This window comes from Homo sapiens, chromosome 8, assembly GCF_000001405.40.
Source record: "Homo sapiens chromosome 8, GRCh38.p14 Primary Assembly".
NCBI classification, from domain to species: Eukaryota; Metazoa; Chordata; class Mammalia; order Primates; family Hominidae; genus Homo; species Homo sapiens.
The window spans coordinates 16,925,017-16,945,211 of record NC_000008.11 but is presented as its reverse complement, the minus strand read 5'-3'; the positions used below and the strand labels follow the sequence as shown (position 1 = coordinate 16,945,211).

General features: G+C 37.5%; 2 annotated features.

The window, feature by feature from the left end:
- Nucleotides 387-970: an enhancer, noted in NCBI's record as "NANOG-H3K27ac-H3K4me1 hESC enhancer chr8:16801751-16802334 (GRCh37/hg19 assembly coordinates)". NCBI's record gives its function as "activates a minimal SCP1, AML or CMV promoter by ChIP-STARR-seq in naive and primed H9 embryonic stem cells {active_cell/tissue: H9 hESC(naive and primed)}" and the evidence as "EXISTENCE:reporter gene assay evidence [ECO:0000049][PMID:30033119]".
- Nucleotides 971-1,556: an enhancer, noted in NCBI's record as "NANOG-H3K27ac-H3K4me1 hESC enhancer chr8:16801165-16801750 (GRCh37/hg19 assembly coordinates)". NCBI's record gives its function as "activates a minimal SCP1, AML or CMV promoter by ChIP-STARR-seq in primed H9 embryonic stem cells {active_cell/tissue: H9 hESC(primed)}" and the evidence as "EXISTENCE:reporter gene assay evidence [ECO:0000049][PMID:30033119]".

Here is a 20,195-nt window from a genome sequence, read left to right as displayed (position 1 = left end):
TTGATCGCATCGGCTCCTGAGGCTTCTGCGTTCTTCACGTAGTTCTCGAGCCTTGGTTTTCAGCTCCAGCAGCAACTTTAAGCACTTCTCTGTATTGGTTATTCTAGTTATACATTCTTCTAAATTTTTTTCAAAGTTTTCAACTTCTTTGCCTTTGGTTTGAATGTCCTCCCGTAGCTCAGAGTAATTTGATCATCTGAAGCCTTCTTCTCTCAGCTCGTCAAAGTCATTCTCCATCCAGCTTTGTTCCGTTGCTGGTGAGGAACTGCGTTCCTTTGGAGGAGGAGAGGCACTCAGCATTTTAGAGTTTCCAGTTTTTCTGTTCTGTTTTTTCCCCATCTTTGTGGTTTTATGTACTTTTGGTCTTTGATGATGGTGATGTACAGATGGGTTTTTGGTGTGGATGTCCTTTCTGTTTGTTAGTTTTCCTTCTAACAGACAGGACCCTCAGCTGCAGGTCTGTTGGAATACCCTGCAGTGTGAGGTGTCAGTGTGCCCCTGCTGGGGGGTACCTCCCAGTTAGGCTGCTCGGGGGTCAGGGGTCAGCAACCCACTTGAGGAGGCAGTCTGCCCGTTCTCAGATCTCCAGCTGCGTGCTGGGAGAACCACTGCTCTCTTCAAAGCTGTCAGACAGGGACATTTAAGTCTGCAGAGGTTACTGCTGTCTTTTTGTTTGTCTGTGCCCTGCCCCCAGAGATGGAGCCTACAGAGGCAGGCAGGCCTCCTTGAGCTGTGGTGGGCTCCACCCAGTTGGAGCTTCCCGGCTGCTTTGTTTACCTAATCAAGCCTGGGCAATGGCGGGCGCCCCTCCCCCAGCCTCGCTGCCGCCTTGCAGTTTGATCTCAGACTGCAGTGCTAGCAATGAGCGAGACTCCGTGGGCGTAGGACCCTCCGAGCCAGGTGCGGGATATACTCTCGTGGTGCGCCGTTTTTAAGCCCATCGGAAAAGCGCAGTATTCGGGTGGGAGTGACCCGATTTTCCAGGTGCCGTCCGTCACCCCTTTCTTTGACTCAGAAAGGGAACTCCCTGACCCCTTGCGCTTCCCAAGTGAGGCAATGCCTTGCCCTGCTTCGGCTCGCGCACGGTGCGCGCACCCACTGACCTGCGCCCACTGTCTGGCACTCCCTAGTGAGATGAACCCGGTACCTCAGATGGAAATGCAGAAATCACCGTCTTCTGCGTTGCTCAGGCTGGGAGCTGTAGACAGGAGCTGTTCCTATTTGGCCATCTTGGCTCCTCCCCTCATAACCCATTATTTTAAACTGATAACAACTTAACACTGATTGCATAAACAAACATATATGCAAAAAGTAAACTCATAAAAACTCCACACTTTAACTTTGTCCACCTGCTTTTTAACTTTTTATTGTTTCTCTTTATGTTTTATTTTCTATCAATGTCCTGAAAAGTTGTAGTTATCATTTTTGTTTGGCTCATCACTTAGTCTTTCTACTTAAGACAAGAGTAGTTTACACACCACAATTACAGTGTTACACCATTCTGCGTTTTTCTGTGTGCTTATTATTACCAGTGAGTTTTGTACCTTCAGATCATTTCTTCCTGCTCATTAACATCCTTTACTTTCAGATTGAAGAACTCCCTTTAGCATTTCTTGTAGAACAGGTCTGGCATAGATGAAGTCTCTGTTTATTGGGGAAAATATTTATTTATTCTTCACAATTGAAGGATATTTTCACTGGATATACTATGTTAGGGTAAAAGTTTTCTTCCTTTAGCACTTTAAATATGTCACGTCACTCTTGCCTGTCCTGTAAGGTTTCTACTGAAAAGTATGCTGCCAGATGTATTGGAGTTCCATTGCATATTATTTGTTCTTCTCTTGTGCCACTTTTAGAATCCTTTCTTTATGCTTGACTTTGGGAGTTTGATTATTAAATGCCCAGAGGAAGTCTTTTTGGGGTTAAATCTGCTTGGTGTTCCATAACCTTCTTGTACTTCAATGTGGATATCTTTCTCTTGGTTTCGGAAGTTCTCTGATACTATCCCTTTGAATAAACTTTGTACTCTTGTTCTTTTCTCTACCTCCTCCTTTTGGCCCATAACTCTTAGACTTGCTCTTTTGAAGCTATTTTCTAGATCTTATAGATGTCTTGTCTTTTGTCTCCTCTGTGTATTTTCTAATAGCCTGTCTTCAAGCTCACTAATACTTTCTTCTGCTTGATCGATTCCGCTATTAATAGGCTCTGAAGCATTCTTCAGCATGTCAATTGTATTTTTCAACTCTAGAATTTCTTCTTGATCCTTTTTAATTATTTCAACCATTTTGTTAAATTTATCTGATAGAATTCTGAATTCCTTCTGTGTTGTGTTATCTTGGATTTCTTTGAGTCCTTAAAACAGCTACTTTTGAATTATCTTTCTGAAAACTCATATATCTCTCTTCCTCCAGGATTGGCTCCTGGTACCTTATTTAGTTCATTTAGTGAGGTCGTGTTTTCCTGGATGGTGTTGATGCTTGTAGATATTTGTCGGTGTTTGAGCATTGAAGAGTTAGATATTTATTGTAGTCTTCACAGTCTAGGCTTGTTTGTGCCTGTCCTTCTTGGGGAGGCTTTCCAGGTATTTGAAGGAACATGAGCCCCAAGCCCAATATTGCTGTGGTTTTTGCAGACTCATAAGGTACCACCTTGGTAGTCTTGGATAAGATCCGGGATAATTCTCTAGATTACCAGGCACAGGCTCTTGCTCTTTTCTCTTACTTTCTCCCAAATGAACAGTGTTCCTCTTTGTGTTGAGTAACCTGGAACTGGGGATGTGGTGATGCAAGCACCCCTGTGGTCACCACTACTGGGGCTGCACTTGGTCAGACCTGAAGACAGCACAGCACTGGGTTTTTCCCAAGGCCCTTCCCTTCAGGGCAGCGAACTCCCCCAAGCCCGGGAATGTCTGTAAATGTTTTCTGGGAGCCAGAGATTAGACTAACTAAATCTTAGCTATTTATCTTATGTTCTGTTCTACTGCGGCTAAGCTGACACTCAACCCACAATACAAAGTCCTTCTTGCTCTTTCCTCTGCTTTCCACAGGCAGAGGAGCTCTCACTGTGGCCACCACCACCACTGGTCCATGGGCAGTTCTACCCAGGCCACTGCTAATATTCACTCAAAACCCAAGGCTCTTCTATCAGCTTTTCGTTAATGTTCCCAGGCCTAGGACTCACCCTTCAGGGCAGTGGACTCCCGTCTGGGCCAGGACGTGTTCAGAAATGCTGTCCAAGTGCCTGGGCCTGGACTTGGGGACCCCAAGAGCCAGACTGTTGTTCTACCCCTCTGTGGCCAAGCTGGTAGCCAAGGTGCAAGACAAAGTGCTTTTTACTTTTCCTTCTGCTTTTCTCAAACTGAAGGAGTCTTTCATCCTAGCTACCACAGCAGAGTCATTCCTGAAGCCTGCACTTCTCAGAGTCCAAGGCCCACAGTGTACTCCCTGGGTATCACTGCTGCTTATTCAGGCCCAAGTCAGCAGGAGATAAATCCTACCAGGACTGGGTCCTTCTCTTCAAGGCAGTAGGTTTCCTTTTGTCCAATGGTGTGTCTAGAAATGTTGTCTGGGACCTGGGGTCTGGAATTGGGGCTTCATGACTCTACTCTGATATCCAAGATGTAAGACAAAGTCCTCTTTACTCTTTGCTCTCCTCTTATTAAGCAGAAGGGAGGGGTCACTTTCATTGCTGTGAGATGCACTGTCTGGAGTTGGGGAAGTCATGGCACAAGCGTTCCCTTAGCTGCACCAGCTGGTGTCTTCCTAGGTCACATGCCACCTTGGTCCACTGGCTCTAAGCCGAGCCTAGCACTAGGAGTTGCCTAAGAATTGCAGTCCTTGTGTCCTAGATTGCCTTTCAAGTTTACCCAGGACCCCAAAGCAGTTCAGCCCACAGTGACAAGGCTTGCTGAGAAACTCAAGTTCTGATCATTGGAATGGGCAATTCTCCTTTGGCTAGGGCTAGTCAATAGCTGTCTTCATGCACAGGTGCTGGCTGAGCCTAGCATGGCTTTATTCTCCTCTGTGACAGGGTGTCACTGCATTCAATGTAAAGTCTCCCTAGTCACTGTGCTCTCCCTCTCCAAAGTGCACATAGTCTTTCTTTGAGCCACATGGCTGCTGGTGGGAGATCGGAGAGGGTCGGTCTCTCTTGCCCTTCTCAATGCCTCTTTCAGTGATATCAAGTTAAAACTAGGTACTGTGATCCTGCATCTGATTTTTGGTTCTTGTGATGCCGTGGTACATTTCTATGTGCAGATACTTGTTAAAATTTGGTGTTTTGGGTGGTGAAGTGGGGTGAATTATGTAGCCTTCTATTCCACCATCTTGCTGTGTTCCCTCTCGTTGTTTTAATTTGCAATTCCCTAGTGATATGTGATTTTAAGCGTCTTACTATGTGCTTACCTGTTATCTTTATATCTTCTTTGGTGAAATCATATCTTTTGCCAGTTTTTAAAATCAAGCTTTCTGTTTCTTCAGTCTTGATTTTTGAGAGATCTTTGTTTATTTTGAATAATGGTCTTTTATCAGATGTGTCTTTTGCAAATATTTCTTCTAGTCTGTTGCATGTCTTCTCACGTCATGACATTGTCTTTCACAGAGCAGAAGTTTTAAATTTTATTAAAGTCCAGACTGCCAATTATTTCTTTTCTCGATCATGTATTTGGTGTTGTATCTAAAAAGTCATCACTATACCCAAGGTCTTCTAGGTCGTCTCATATGTTATCTTTAATAGTTTTAGAGTTTTGTATTTCACATTTAGGTCTATGATCTATTTTGAGCTAATTTTTATGAAGCATTTAAAGCCTGCTTCTAGATCCTTTTTTTTTCCATGTGAGCGTCCCATTGCTCCAGAACCATTTGTGGGAAAGGCTGTATTTGCTTCACTGTATTTATTGTCTTTGCTCATTTGCCAAGGATCGGTAGCTGTACTAATGTATATCTATCTGTGGGCTTTCTATTCTGTATCATTGATGTACTTGTCTGTTCTTTCACCAATACTACATTAATTATTGTAGCTTTGTAGTAAGTCTTGAAGTTGGTTAGTGTGAGTTTCTAACTTTGTTCTCATCCTTCAATATTGAATTGGCTATTCTGGGATTTTTCCTCTCCATATAAACTTTGGAAAGAGTTTGTTGATATTCACAAAATAACCTGAGGGTATTTTTTATTGAGATTGCACTGAATCTGTAGATCAACTTGGAAAAAACTAAAATCTTGATAATACTGAATCTTCCTTTCCATGAACATGCAACACTTTTCCATTTATCTAGTTCTTTGATTTCTTTCAAGAGTTTCATAGGTTTTTTTTCATATAGATCTTGTACATATTTTATTAGATTTATACCTAAATATTTCATATTTTTGAGTGATAATGTAAGAGGCATTGAAAGTAATTGCCTTTTGTATATTAACTTTCTGTAATCACATGTTAGTTCCAGGAGTTTTTTTTGATTTGGGGAGATTTTCTACATGGATGATCATGATATCTGAAAATAAAGGCAACTTTATTTCTTTCTTCTTAGTCTGTATGCTTTTTTTTTCTTATTTTGTATTAGCAAGAATTTTTAATATGATGTTAAAAAACCAGTAGTGAGAGGAGACATTCTTTTTTTTTTTTTTTTTTGAGATGGAGTCTTGCTCTGTCACCCAGGCTGGAGTGCAGTGGCGCAATCTCAGCTGACTGCAACCTCTGCCTTCTGGGTTCAAGTGATTCTCCTGCCTCAGCCTCCCGAGTAGCTGGGACTACAGGCGCGCACCACCACACTTGGGTAATTTTTTGTATTTTTAGTAGAGACAGGGTTTCACCATGTTGGACAGGATTGTCTCGATCTCCTGACCTTGTGATCTGCCTGCCTCGGGCTCCCAAAGTGCTGGGAATACAGGCTTGAGTCACTGCACCCGGCCGAGAGGAGCCATTCTTGCCTTATTCTTGATGTTAGGAAAGCTTTGAGTTTCCCATTATTAAGTATGGTTTTAACTACACCTTTTTGTAGATGTTCTTAATTTAGTTAAAGAACTTCCCTCTATTCTGTTGAGCGCTTTTTATGATGAATGAGTATTGGAAATAGTTAAATGTTTTCTCTGCATCTGTTGATAAGAGCATGCGATTTTTCTTCTTAAGCTTGTTGATATGGTGGATTGTATTAATTGATTTTTGAATGTTAAACCAGCCTTGCATAACTGGCATAAATATGACTTTGTCATGGTATATAATTTTTTTTTTTTTTTTGAGAGACAGAGTTCTACTCTGTCACCCAGGCTGGAGTCCAGAGGTATGATCTGGGCTCCCTGCAACCTCTGTCTCCTGGGTTCAAGCAATTCTCCTGCCTCAGCCTCCTGAGTAGCTAGGACTACAGGCACATGCCACCACACCTGGCTAATTTTTGTATTTTTAGTAGAGACGGGGTTTCATCATGTTGGGCAGACTGGTCTGGAACTCTTGACCTCAAGTGATCCACCCACCTTGGCCTCCCAAAGTGCTGAGATTACAGGTGTGAGCCACCATGCCCAGCTTCTTTTTATACATTGTTGAATTTAATTTGCGAATATTCTGTTGAGGGTTTCTACATCTATGTTTATGAGATATATTGGTCTATAGTTTTCTTTTCTTTTAATGCCTTCACCTGTTTTGCTATCGGGGTAATTCTCTCCTTATGGAATGAGTTTGGAAGTATTCTCTTTGTTTCTATCTTCTGAAAGAAATTGTAGATCACTGGCCTAATTCCTTTTTTAGGTGTTTGGTAGAATTCACCAACAAACCCATCTCGGCCTGGTCCTTTTTGTTTTGGGAGGTTATTCATTATTGATTAAATTTTTAAATAGATATAGTCCAATTTAAATTGTTCTTTTTTATGTAAATTTAGATAGATTGTGTCTGTAAGTAATTGTAACCTATTTCATCTATGTTGCCACATTTGTTGGCATAGAGTTTTGTATAATGTTTCCTTGTTATCCTTTTAAAGTTGATCAGATCTGGAGTGATATCCCTTCTTTCATTTCCAATATTAATAATTTGTGTCCTCCTTTTTTTCTTAGTCTTAGTAGATGCTTATTAATTTTGTTGATGTTTTCAAAAACAAGCTTTTAGTTTTGTTGATTTTCTCTGTTGATTTCCTCTTTTCAATTTCATTGATTTCTGGTCCAGTTTTTGTTCTTTTTCCTGTTTAATTTGGATGTATTTGTTCTTGTTTTTCTTGTTTCCTCAGGTGGAAGCTTAGATGAATGATTTTAGGTTTTCCCTTTTGTATACATGCATTCAGTGCTATAAATTGGTTTCTAATAACTGCTTTTACTGCATCCCAAAATTTTTCACAAGTTGTATTTTTATTTTCATTTAGTTCAAAATATTATAAAATTTCTTTTGAAGGTTCATATTTGACTTTTGTGTTATTTGGAGTATATTGTTTAATCTCCAAGCATTTTGGGAGTTTCTCAAAATATTTTTGTTATTGATTTCTAGTATAATTCCTTTTGTGGGTAGAGAGCAGACATTGTATGAGTTCTATTTTTTGAATTTTAAGTTGTGTCTTAAGGTCCAGAATATGGTCATTTTGAATGTTCCGTGTGATGTTGAGAAGAATGTGTAATCTAATCTTATCAGATGAGGTTATCTATAGATGTTAATTATATCCAGGTGATTAATGATGCTGTTGGGTTTGACTATATTCTTACAGCTTTTCTGCCTGCTGGATCTGTGCATTTATGATAAAAAAGTTTTTAAAGTGTTCAACTACAATAGTGGATACATCTGTTCATCCTTGCAGTTATATGAGCTTTTGCTTACAGATTTTGATGCTGTGATGTTGTCTTCATACACATTAAGGATGGCTATCTCCTCTTGGAGTACTGACCTCTTTATCACTATGTAATTCTTCTCTTTATCTCTGATAATCTTCCTTGATCTGAAGTTTGCTCTATCTGAAATTAAGACAGCTACTTCTGCTTTGCTTTAGTATTCTATAAACAACATATAATTGGGTCTTATATTTTTAATCGACCCTGACAATCTCTGTCTTTAATGTTTTTTTATATCCTTCTTTTAGTGATAGCCTCACTATGTTGCCTAGGCTGGACTAAAACCCTGAGCTCAGGGATCCTTCCTCCTTGGCCTCCTGAGTATCTTGGACTACAGGTATGCACCACCATACCTGAATTCTGTCTTTTAGTTGGTGTATTTACACTGTATACTTTTAAAGTGATTACTAATATAGTTGGAATAATATCAACCACATTTGTTACTGTTTTCTCTTTGTTACTCTTGTTCTTTTTTACTATTTTTGTCTTCCTCTCTTTTTCTGCCTTTTGTAGTTTTAATTTAGCATTTTATATGATTCCATTTTCTCTCCTTTCTTAGCATATCTGTTGTACTTCTTTTTTCATGCTTTTTTGTAGCAGTTGTCCTAGAGTTTGCTATATATATTTACAACTAATCCAAGTTTCAAATAACGCTATCCCATTTCATGGGTCATGCAAGTATTGAATAATAACAAAGTAATTCCAATCTCTTCCTCCCTTCCTTGTGTCGTTGCTGTCATTCATTTCACTATACACTATTTCTATGCAAACATACATAAGCATATATATTATACATATAACAAATCATTCATTTCACTATATACTACTTCTATGCAAACATACATAAACATATACATATGCATATATAATATATCGTATAGTATATAGCATATATAATGTCTTATGTCATCAAATACATTGTTGCTATTATTTTGAACAATCTGTTATCTGTTAGAACACTAAAAATGAGAAACACAATTTTTTTTTATTTTTACCTTCACTTAATCCTTTTGTCCGATGCTTTCTTTATTTCGTCCTGAGTTTTTGACCTATGTCATTTTTATTCTCTCTAAAGCAGGAGTCTCCAACTCTCAGGCCATGGACTGGAATCAATCTGTGGCTTGTTAGGAACTGGGCTGCATAGCAGGAGGTGAGTGGTGGATGAGCGAATATTACCGCCTGAACTCCACCTCCTGTCAGTTCAGTGACAGCATCGGATTCTCACAGAAGCACAAACCCTATTGTGAAGTGTGCATGTAAGGATCTAGGTTGTGCAATCCTTGTGAAAACTGAATGCCTGATGATCTGAGGTCGAACAGTTTCATCACCTCATCATTCCTGGTCAGTGAAAAAATTGTCTTCCATGAAACCAGTCCCTGGTGCCAGAAAGGTTGGCGACTGCTGTCCTAAAGTAACTCTTTTAACATTTCTTGTGAGGCGTGTGTACAGTCAACAAATTCTCTCAATTTTTGTTCATCTGAGAAAGTCTGTGTCTTTTGAAGGATAATTTTTTGGGGTACAGAATTCTAGGTTGGTGGGTTTCTTTCTCTTAATACTTTAAATATTTCACTCTGCTCTCTTTTTGCTTGCATGGTTTCTAAGGAGAGGTCAGGTGGGTGTAATTTTTATTTTTGCTCCTCTTTATATAAAGTGTTTTTTTCCCTCCTGGCTTCTTTCAAAACTTTTTGTTTGTCTTTGATTTTCTGAATATTGAATATGATATGTCCAGGTGGAGTGTGTGTGTGTGTATGTGTGTGTGTTTGTGTGTGTGTGTTCTCTGAGCATCTTGTATTTTTGATTTGGTATCTGACATTGATTTGGGGAAATTCTCAGTCATTTTTGCTCCAAATATTGCTTCTGTTTCTTTCTGTCTTCTTCATTGTTATTTTCATTACATGGATGTTTCCATTTTTGTAGTTGTCCCACAGTTCTTGGATATTCTGTTCTTTTTTTTTTCCTTTGCAGTTTTGCAAGTTTCTATTATTATCTCCTGGAGCTCTAGATTTTTTTCTCAGCTGTGTCTAGTCTAGAATGAGCCTATTGAAGGGATTCTTCGTCTCTGTTACAGTGTTTTGGTCCTTAGTGATACTTTTTAATTCATTCTTATAATTTTCATCTCTGCCTACATTACCCGTCTGTTCTTGTATGTTGTCTTACTTTTTCATTAGAGCCCTGTATTAGTCCATTTTCACAATGCTGATAAAGACATACTTGAGACTGGATAATTTATGAAGAAAAAGAGATTTAATAGACTCACAGTTCCAGGTGGGTGGTGAGGTCTCACAATTATTGTCGAGGCAAAAGGCAAATCTTACACAGTGACAGGCAAGAGAGAAAGAGAGTCAAGTCAAAGTGGAAACCCTTTATAAAACCAGCAGATCTTATGAGACTTATTCAATACCACAAGGATAGTATGGGGGAAACTGCCCCCATGATGTAATTATCTCCCAACGGTCCCTCCCACAACACGTGGGAATTATGGGTGCTATAGTTCAAGATGAGATGTGGGGTGGGGACACAGCCAAACCATATCAAGCCCTTAGCATATCATAGTTATCATAGTTGTAATACATTTCCCATCTATAGTTCTGACATTTCTGCCACGTTTGAACTGGCTTGTTCAGTGTCTTAAAACCTTTTTTTTTTTTTTTTGCCTTTTAGTATGACTTGCAATTTTTTGTTGAAATGTGGATGTAATGTACTCGGTGAAATAAATTCCAGTTTATAGATCCTTATTAGTGTGGTGATCTGGTGTGGGGGAGGGGGAGTGTTGGTTGTGTAATTACTTCTGTTTTGGTGAGCCTGTGCTCCTGGACTGTGAACTTCACCAGTGCTTCTAATATTCCCCCACCCCACCTAGCAGGTAGAACAAAATGGCTAGCGGGGGCTAGAGATGGGTATTTCCCTTCCTCCAGGTTGGTTAGGCTCTGATGAAACTCCAGCAGGTTAGGCTGTGGTAAAATTGTTTTACCTGAGGGCAGACCTTGTTAAGAACAGAAAGCTCTGGCCTATCTCAAAATGTTTACTTCCAGCCCCTCAAGCACTGCCTCCATTTCCAAGCCAGAAGCAGGAGGGGATTTTTCTCTAATGTTCACCTTGAGGACCTGGCAGAACTCTTGGAAGTAAAACTCACAAAAGTGTGGGAGTCCTCCTATGACTGGGTCCCCTTGGAGTTTTTAACTCTCAGACTAGAAGAGTTGATTGTATTAATATTTCAGTTAGTTCAGATTTTTTCTTGTTGTTAGGATGGACTGGCCACTTCTAAGCAGCTTACATGCTGGTGTGGAAAACAGAAAAAGCTCACTTTTGAAGACGTGCAGCAACTGACTTGGACTTGGCTATGCTCAATGCCTTATGAGAGCAAATCAGCAAAAAATGTGTGACATAATTACTCAATACCATCAATTACATCTGGATATCAGAGAGCTAAACAGTTCTACAGATAATGTCGATTTAGATAATGAATGAAATGGCAAGCCTTGACGGTCTCACAATAGGACAAAAAGCTGAGTTTCATTTATGAGTGGTATAGTTGTAATGTGACAGCATTCCAACGTTCTTCTTAAACAAGGCTTTGTGTTCTTTATTGCCTTGATGACAAGGAAGATGATGGTAATGATCATGATTACAGTGGTAAGAAACCAACTAACTCTCAATGCACACTTATTTTGTAATGAGTGCTTACTCTGTTTCAGGTACATGGTAATATCCTGAAGTATTGTCCTAAGTATTGTCATATTTAGTCCTCACTATAATGCTGTAAAGTAGTGATGAATTCTTATGTTACTGATAAGAAACTAAGCCTAGAACATGCCTAAGATATTTAAATTATCCAAGCTCATACAGACACAATATGGTAGACTTGTGCCTTCTGCTTCACTTTGTCAACACTTCAGAGACTAAAAGGTTAACCACTTTAACCACTATGTCAGAATTAGAGAACTGAAAATAAAGGTGATCAAAAACTACTTAAAAAAAGGCCACAAACGTATTTAGATGCATAAAATGCAAAAGCCATTGGCAAAGTTAGAGAAAGAAATAGTAAATTTTAGTAATTTCATATCAATTAACTAAGGATTATTTGTTTTACCTGATCCATCAAAAAGAGATATCAATTAAAAAGAATAATCTAACACAATAAATTTATTATTTATTAAATTTATTATTAATCTAACACAATAAATTTGTTACTTATGAAATGTATTATTATTTAATAATAATCCCAAGTAGCTGGAATTACAGGTGCACACCACCACGCATGGCTAATTTTTTGTATTTTAATAGAGACAGGGTTTCACCATGTTGCCCAGACTGGTCTTGAACTTCTGAGCTTAGGCAAACCACCCGCCTCAGCCTCCCAAAGTGCTAGGATTACAGGTACGAGACATGGCATGTGGCCAAAATGTTATTTAAATATTAAATCAACTCCAAACATGGTAAATCCAAAGAAATTCATGCCCTGGCACTTCATAATCAAGCTGTTGAACCTAAAGACAAAGAAAAATAAAAATCTTGAAAGCAAACTATTCTTCAGGAATCCAAGTGAAATAAAGACATTTTTAGATGAAGAAAAACTGAGTAGCTCTATTCTGAAGAATTGCTGAAGGGAATTCTTCAGAAAGAAAGGAAATAATAACAGAAGAAAGTTGAAACATAAGAAATGACAAAGGAGATGAAAATGATGACTATCTGGGTAAATATAGTAGACTATTCTACCATTGAATTATTTAGCATAGGTTTTTCAGTTGAAGGCAAAAATTATAACATTATCTAATAAGATATTCAATGTGTAAATGTAATGTAAAAGACAACTATAACAAAAAAGGAAGGTGGCTAAAGGGATCTAGGTGGTGGCTAGAATTTCTGCATTTCACTTTGTGTGGTAAAATATTGATTCCAAGTAGATGGTAAAAAGTTAAGTGTGTGCATTATAATCCCTGGAGCAACCACTGAAAAGCAAATCAATGCAAATTCAAATTATTAAAATATGATGAATGACAATGGAATAATAAAAAATTTGCACAATCCTAAAGGAGGCAGGAAAAGAGAATAGGAGGAAAAACAACAACAAAAAACCAACAGAACAAACAAAACAAGGAATAAATGAAACATCTATATCAAAAGATATCAACAATAACATTATATGCAAATAGTCTAAACATGCCAATTAAAGACAGAGATTGTCAGAATGGATTAAAAAATATGAGCCAAGTATATGCTGTCTTCAGGAAAGTTACTTCAAACATAATATTGGTAGATGAAAACTAAAGAGATGGAGAAAGATATGCCATACAAAGTAATCAAAAGAACCTGGAGTGGCTAGATTTATATCACATAAGGTAGACTTTAGAACAAACAAAATTACCAGGGATAAAGAGGAACATTATATAATGATAAAAGAATCAACTCATCAAGGATAAATAAGAATTTTAAATGTGTATGAATCTAACAACAGAGCTTCAAAATACGCAAAGCAAAACCTTATAGAATTGAAAAGAGTAATTGACAATTCACAATTATACTCGTAGAACTCAACACTCTTATTTCAGTAACAGAGCTAGTAGACAGAAAATCAGTCAGAACACAGAAGAATTGAAATGATGCCATCAACTATATGAATCTAATTGACATTTATAGAGCCTTCCACTCAACAACAGCAGACTACTGCTTTTCCTGTTATCTTCTGTTACTGTTTTTCAGTTTAATTCTCTTATGGCCAGAAATTTTACTTAGAGTGATTTCAATTCTATCAAATTTAATAAAGTTTGTTTTGTGATCCTGAATGTGGTTTATCTTGGTGAATCTTCAAATGCACTTGAAAAGAGTATAATCCTATAGAAAGCAGAGTGGGTAGGTTTATGTGTAGAGATGGTGGTTTAGGAGATAGGGTATAACTCCATTATAAAGCAGGAGGCAAGGAAATATGCTGAGTTGGTAGTGAAGAGAGGATAGGAATGAAACTTCAGAGTAAGTATTATGGGTGTTACACAGAACACAGTCCTAAGTGATTCCAAATTTTAAAAACTGATATAGAAGAACATAAATTTGCATGATTGTACAGTATATTTAGGGGCATTTGCCATCTCAGGTATGTGAGCAGAAAAGCCAAATGATCCGAGGACATAGTAAAAAGATAAGATGTCAAAAATGCTGACATTCCTAGTAAGAGAAAAATTGAAATGATGCACCTTGGTGTCTAGGTTGGAGGGCAGCAAGAGAGGCCATAAAGGGAATGATGGATTGGAAGAAAACTGAGAAGTCAGAGGACTGAATATTGTCAAGGGATAGGGGAGCAGACATAGAGGGGGAAAGGTAAAGGACTAATATTTGCATTATTGTAAATTACTTGTGGGCCATTTATTGGTGTAAATAGTTTTTGATCAATATGACAAATTCTTCAAATGAGTATAGATAACAAAAATGCAATTAACTATTACATAAGAAAAACTTTATTATTTTTTAAGATTGGCAGTTGTAACACTTCTATTTATTTATTTGTTTTATGGACAGGGTCTTGCTGTGTTGTCCAGGCTGGAGATCAGTAGTGAATCACAGCTCACTGTGACCTTGAACACTGGGGCTCAAGTCATTCTCCTGCCTCAGCCTTGAAAAAAATTTATTAATAGCATGTTTGTCCTATCATAGATATTTTACTACTTTAAACCGGCTTAGAAAACACCTCTTTTAGCTTATATATTGTGCTAAATAAGATGGGCAGTGATATTTAGCCATTGTAGTGGCTTATGAATATAAGTGCTATGGAGGTGGAATGAATGCAAAACGGATAAAAAATTAACCATGTGGAATAATGCATTTAAATACAGGAGTATAAAGAATGTGGCTTATTGTCCACATGACTAACATATTCCCAGAATTTGAACAGAAGTTAAAGAAAATAGAATGCCTATTGGTACAGCTAAAAAAATTCCTTTGAGATTAAAGTACATTTAAGGAACTATATACTATTTTACTATAATGGTCCAAGTTTTTCCCCTGTGAATAACTGGGATGTAACTCAAGTGAGAAGTCAAATGAGAAAGCCTGATTTAATGTTAAATTATATAGAGCTCACTTATTTATAAATTCATACAGCAGCATCAATCTCTGTAACAAAACCCACTGAAATCAATCAGTTTGCAAGTACTAAATATGGAGTGTTCTTCAGTATCTGGCTCTGTCTACATATTTATATTTATCTTTTGATATTCATTCCTTCTGTTCCTTCTCTAGTGGCACTAAACTGCATGCAGTTTTCTTTTTTTCTTTTTAGAGACACGGTCTCACTTTGTTGCCCAGGTTGGAGTGCTGTGGCATGATGTTGGCTCACTGCAATCTTGACCTTCTGGGTTCAAGCAATGCTCCCTCTTCAGCCTCCTGAGTAGCTAGAGCTACAGGCATGCGCCACCATGCCTAGATAATTTTTGTATTTTTTGTAGAGATGAGGTCTCGCTATGTTGCCCAGGTTGATCTTGAACTCCTGGCTTCAAGTGATCCTCGTGCCTTGGTCTCCTTAACATAACACCACAAACAACAGCGGCTTCAACAAGACAGAAACATATTTCTCAACTATAACGAGATACCATCTCACACCAGTCAGAATAGCTATTAACAAAAAGTCAAAAAATAGCAGAGGGTTGTGAGGTTGTGGAGAAAAGGGAATGCTTATACACTGTTGGTGGGAGTGAAAATTAGTTCAACCATTAAGGAAATATTGCTTCTCTTCAAACAAAAAATACAAATTCTGGCCAGGTGTGGTGGCTTATTCCTGGAATCCTAGCACTTTGGGAAGCCAGGCAGGAGAATCACTTGAGGCCAGGAGTTTGAGAGCAGCTTGGGCAACGTGGCAAGACTCTGTCTCTACAAAAGATGTTTTTTTTTCAAATTACCTGGGTGTGGTAGCACACACCTGTAGTCCTAGCTACTTAGGAGGCTGAGGCAGGAGGATTGCTTGAGCCCAGTTTGAGGTTGCAGTGAGCTATGATTGTGCCACTGCATTCCATTCTGAGGGACAGAGAGTGAGACCCTGACTCAAAAAACAACAACAAGAACAACAAAAAATAACAACAACAAAAACAAAAACGAAAACAAAAAAAGACCAAATTCTATAGTCTACTCTGTAGTCAGGTATGGATATGTAACTACATTTTGGCCAATGTGAGTAGAAGAGTTAAGTCAATTTCTTGGATGTTTCCTTAAAGAGATGATTCTTTTCTTTCATTATCCCTGGAGTTCAGTGTTAGTTAGAGCTCTGGAGGCTTTTTGGATCAGGCAATGGAGGACCTCACTTTAGTGGTAGTGAACAGTGAACTGCAAACTGTTTGAACCCCTAACGACTTTGCAGAGCCCTGTGCTAGTACTTAGCTGCCTAACTGTGAAATTCTTTCTATTTTTAAGTGAGATATACATTTCTTTTGAAAAAACTTTTATTTTAGGGTCAAGGGTATATGTGCACATTTGTTATATGGGTAAATTGGTGTCACAGGGGTTTGTTGTTCAGAATATTTTGTCACCCAGGTACTAAGCCCAGTACCCAATAGTTATTTTTCTTGATGTTCTCCCTCTTCCGACCCTCCACCCTCAAGTAGGCCCCAGTGCCTGTTGTTCTCCTCTTTGTGTCCATGTGTTCTCATCACTTAGCTCCCATTCATAAGTGACAACATCGGGTATTTGTTTTTTTGTTCCTGCATTAATTTGCTAAGGATAACGGCCTCCAGCTCCATCCATCTTCTCGCAAAAGACTTAATGTTGTTGTTTTATATGGCTGCATAATATTTCATGGTGTATGTGTGCACATTTTCTTTATCTAATCCGCCATTGATGGGCATTTAGCTTGATTCCATGACTTTGATAATGTGAATAGTGCTGCAATGAACACACATGTGCGTGTGTCTTTATGAAAGAATGATTATATGCCTTTGGGTATATACCCAGTAATAGATTCCTGGGTCAAATGGTAGTTGTATTTTTAGCTCTCTGAGGAATTGCCACGCTGTTTTCCTCAATGGTTGAAGTAACTTTCACTCCCACCAACAGTGTATAAGCATTCTCTTTTCTCCACAACCACGCCAGGATCTGCTATTTTTGACTTTTTAATAATAGCTGTTCTGAGTGGTGTGAGATGGTATCTCGTTGTGGTTGAGAAATATATTTCTGTCTTGTTGAAGCCACTGTTGTTTGTGGTGTTATGTTATTTGTAAATAAACCTCATCTTCTCTTCTACACTATGAACTCCTTGATGAGGTAGACCTCTTTTTTTTTTTTTTGTATTTCGTATTACTGTTAGTGTGGTGTTTGGCATATAGGGAAGGTAAACAATAGACCAGCACTAAACAGGACTGAGGAAGTATAAATTGGGACAACGTTTAAATGCGAGAACTGGAGGATGGTCCTGTATCGTGAAGCATGTAAGTTAACTCTTATAGCAAGCAGAAATGGGCACTTCAAACTTTAATGACGGCAATAAAAACTGGAACAACTCTTTTAAATATATATACACACACATATATATGAAGTATTTATATATTTGAAAGTTATAAATGTATATAACTGTATATTTAGATCATATATTATATATTTATATATAATTATATGTGATATATAAATATATATTTGCATATAAAATATAAATATATAAAATTATATATAAAATATAAATACATATTTAATGTGTATTTATCACATATAATAGATTTATAACTAATTATATGAAATAAATATATACTCTCTAGAAGTTCTTAAACTCTTTACAAAATATTTCCTCCTCTGTGCTTTGTCTTAAGGAAACAATCAGAAATGTGTGTGTATGTAGAGGCAAATCTATGTGAGCACAAAAAGGACCGTCATGAAAATGTTTCTCGTAGGGAAAAAGATCTTGGCAATAACTTCAATGTTCAAATAATGGTTAAATGAGACACTGTATATCCACTGAACGAGGATTATTAATTATGCTCATTAATGTAATCATAATTAACTAATTACCATTACAATTATGTTTAAAATTATGCAGAAGTGGAGTAATATGCATTTTAAAAAAGTGAAAGAAACTGGATAAATATAAAATCAGTAAACTAATATATGAATAACCGAAACATAGGAACAGAGTTTAGAAGCGAGCTAAAACATTTATAGAGATAGTATTTGTGAGCTGGAATGAATCAATAATGTCCTCTTATCCTTCATGTAATTTTTTCCTGTATTCCATATTTTTCTTAAGGACTATGATGACTATAATTACTATAATTGTTAAATTGAGAAAGAAAATAAGAAGTTAAAGCTTGGGCAATAACATAAATCTTAGAAGAGCTCGTAGATTGCTGCTTAGTTGTATTTTTAGGCGTGTATTTAAATTGATATCACTGTCACATACACTACCGGTCCATTCTCAAAGGCATTAATGATTTTTTAATGCATTCTGGTTCTTGAGTCTCAAATTGACTTGGGCTGACATAAACATTTCAGTGTTCTTTGAACCACAAAGGTTATTGAAATGTCATTTTATATATAAGATTCTGACTTCCTCATATATATAAATGTGTATATATATACATATATATATGTATATATATATGTGTGTATATATATATATATATATATATTTTTTTTTTTTTTTTTTTTTTTTCCCCCTTGAAACAGAGTCTTGCCCTGTCACCCAGGCTGGAGTGCAGTGGTGGGATCTCAGCTCACTGCAACCTCTGCTTCCTGGGTCCAGGCGATTCTCCTGTCTCAGCCTCCCGAGTAGCTGGGACCACAGGTGCTCGCCACCATGCCCAGCTAATTTTTGTGTTTTTAATAGAGACGGGGTTTCACCATATTGGCCAGGCTGGTCTCGAACTCCTGACCTTGTGATCAGCCCGCCTTAGCCTCCTGAAGTGTTGGGATTACAGGCGTGAGCCACCGTCTGGCCCCTCATATATTTGTAATTACAAAATCATGAAATGAAGAAATTCATTTTCACAAGTCATGTAACTCAAAACAAGAATGTTTTATGTGCTTACTGCCAGATCCCCCAGCCTGTTTTACTATTTTAGATTACCCATTTGAAAGAAAATCCACCTGAGTACTGCTTTCAAGTAATGTTTTTGGGTGGTGATGAAATCGGGTGATTACAGGCTGAATTACTGCTGAGTAAATTAGGAAACCATCAAAGCACAGAACTGAATTGACTAGTTCCCTCCTTCACAACATTCTAACAGGGCTCTAAGTCAGACTAACAAATAGTCAGGTTGACCACCTTTGATTTGTTCAAACACAGCTCTCACAGAAAACACTTCTTGCAGGGAGGTAGAGAGAGCACAGAGAGAAAACAAAACTGAAAGATGAGAAATGAAAAATAAAGTAGGAGAAGGTAGTAAAAAGGGAAGGAGTGTTAACCTTCTAAAGAAACTCTATTGTTCTAACCCCAGAAGATAATAAATTCAGAGATTCGGCCAGTCATAGACCCATAGGGTCAAGGAAATCTAAGTCTCCTTTGGGTTACCAGATCCGGTAGGCCAACCTAAAATTACCAAGAAAAACATAAGTAACTGAAAAATTGGACTTGCCATCCTTCAACATTGATAGGTTACTTATAGGTTACTTAAAGTCTCCTCTTGCAACATTGCAATTCCGAATGATGGTTCACTCCCTGGAAGTAACATGAAGATGCTGAGGAGGAGTCAGTTGGGGACAAACAGCTTCATTCTCATTAAAGGCAAATTCTCATTCTCATGTATGTTTCAAATAATTCATGGCATGATCAGTCTTAAATGAAGATAAAAACTGTTTAGCAACTAATTCATATCCATAGGATTATTTACTTTCAAAAAGTATTTGAAGTTTAAAAATATATCAATCACAACAAATTACACACTGAGTTACCTTGTGCTGTTAACCAAAGGCAATACGTAAAAATCTTCAAGACTTCTGAAAAGGAAGAAATGTAGTGCAAAAAAAAAAAAAAAAAAAATAGGGAAAAACGAGCAAAAATCCTCCTTTCTAGGTCTATATTTTAAAAGAAAAGCTGTAGATCTCCAGGAGAAAGAAGACATATATAAAGTAATAGGCCAAAATATAGTTCATATATAACTCAAGATAGGAAAAATCATATTACAAATTAAGTAGGCCTTTAATTAGCAGGGAGACACTTTTGGCCTATAGGAGATGCCACATTTATCAGTATATAATTTTGCAAACTTTATAATATCATTCATCTATGAAGCTACTATTTAAAACTGTTGCTAATGATAGTGATAAGGTATATAAACCTACGTAAATTGCTACTTCAGTTATTTCCTCTTAACGTATAGACTTTTTTGATACAGTATCAAGGTACTAAGCTGTCTGATTTTTAATGAAAGCTTTGCCTGATTATGAACATTAGCACATCCTATCAGTCATGACCATGGACATTATCCCATACTC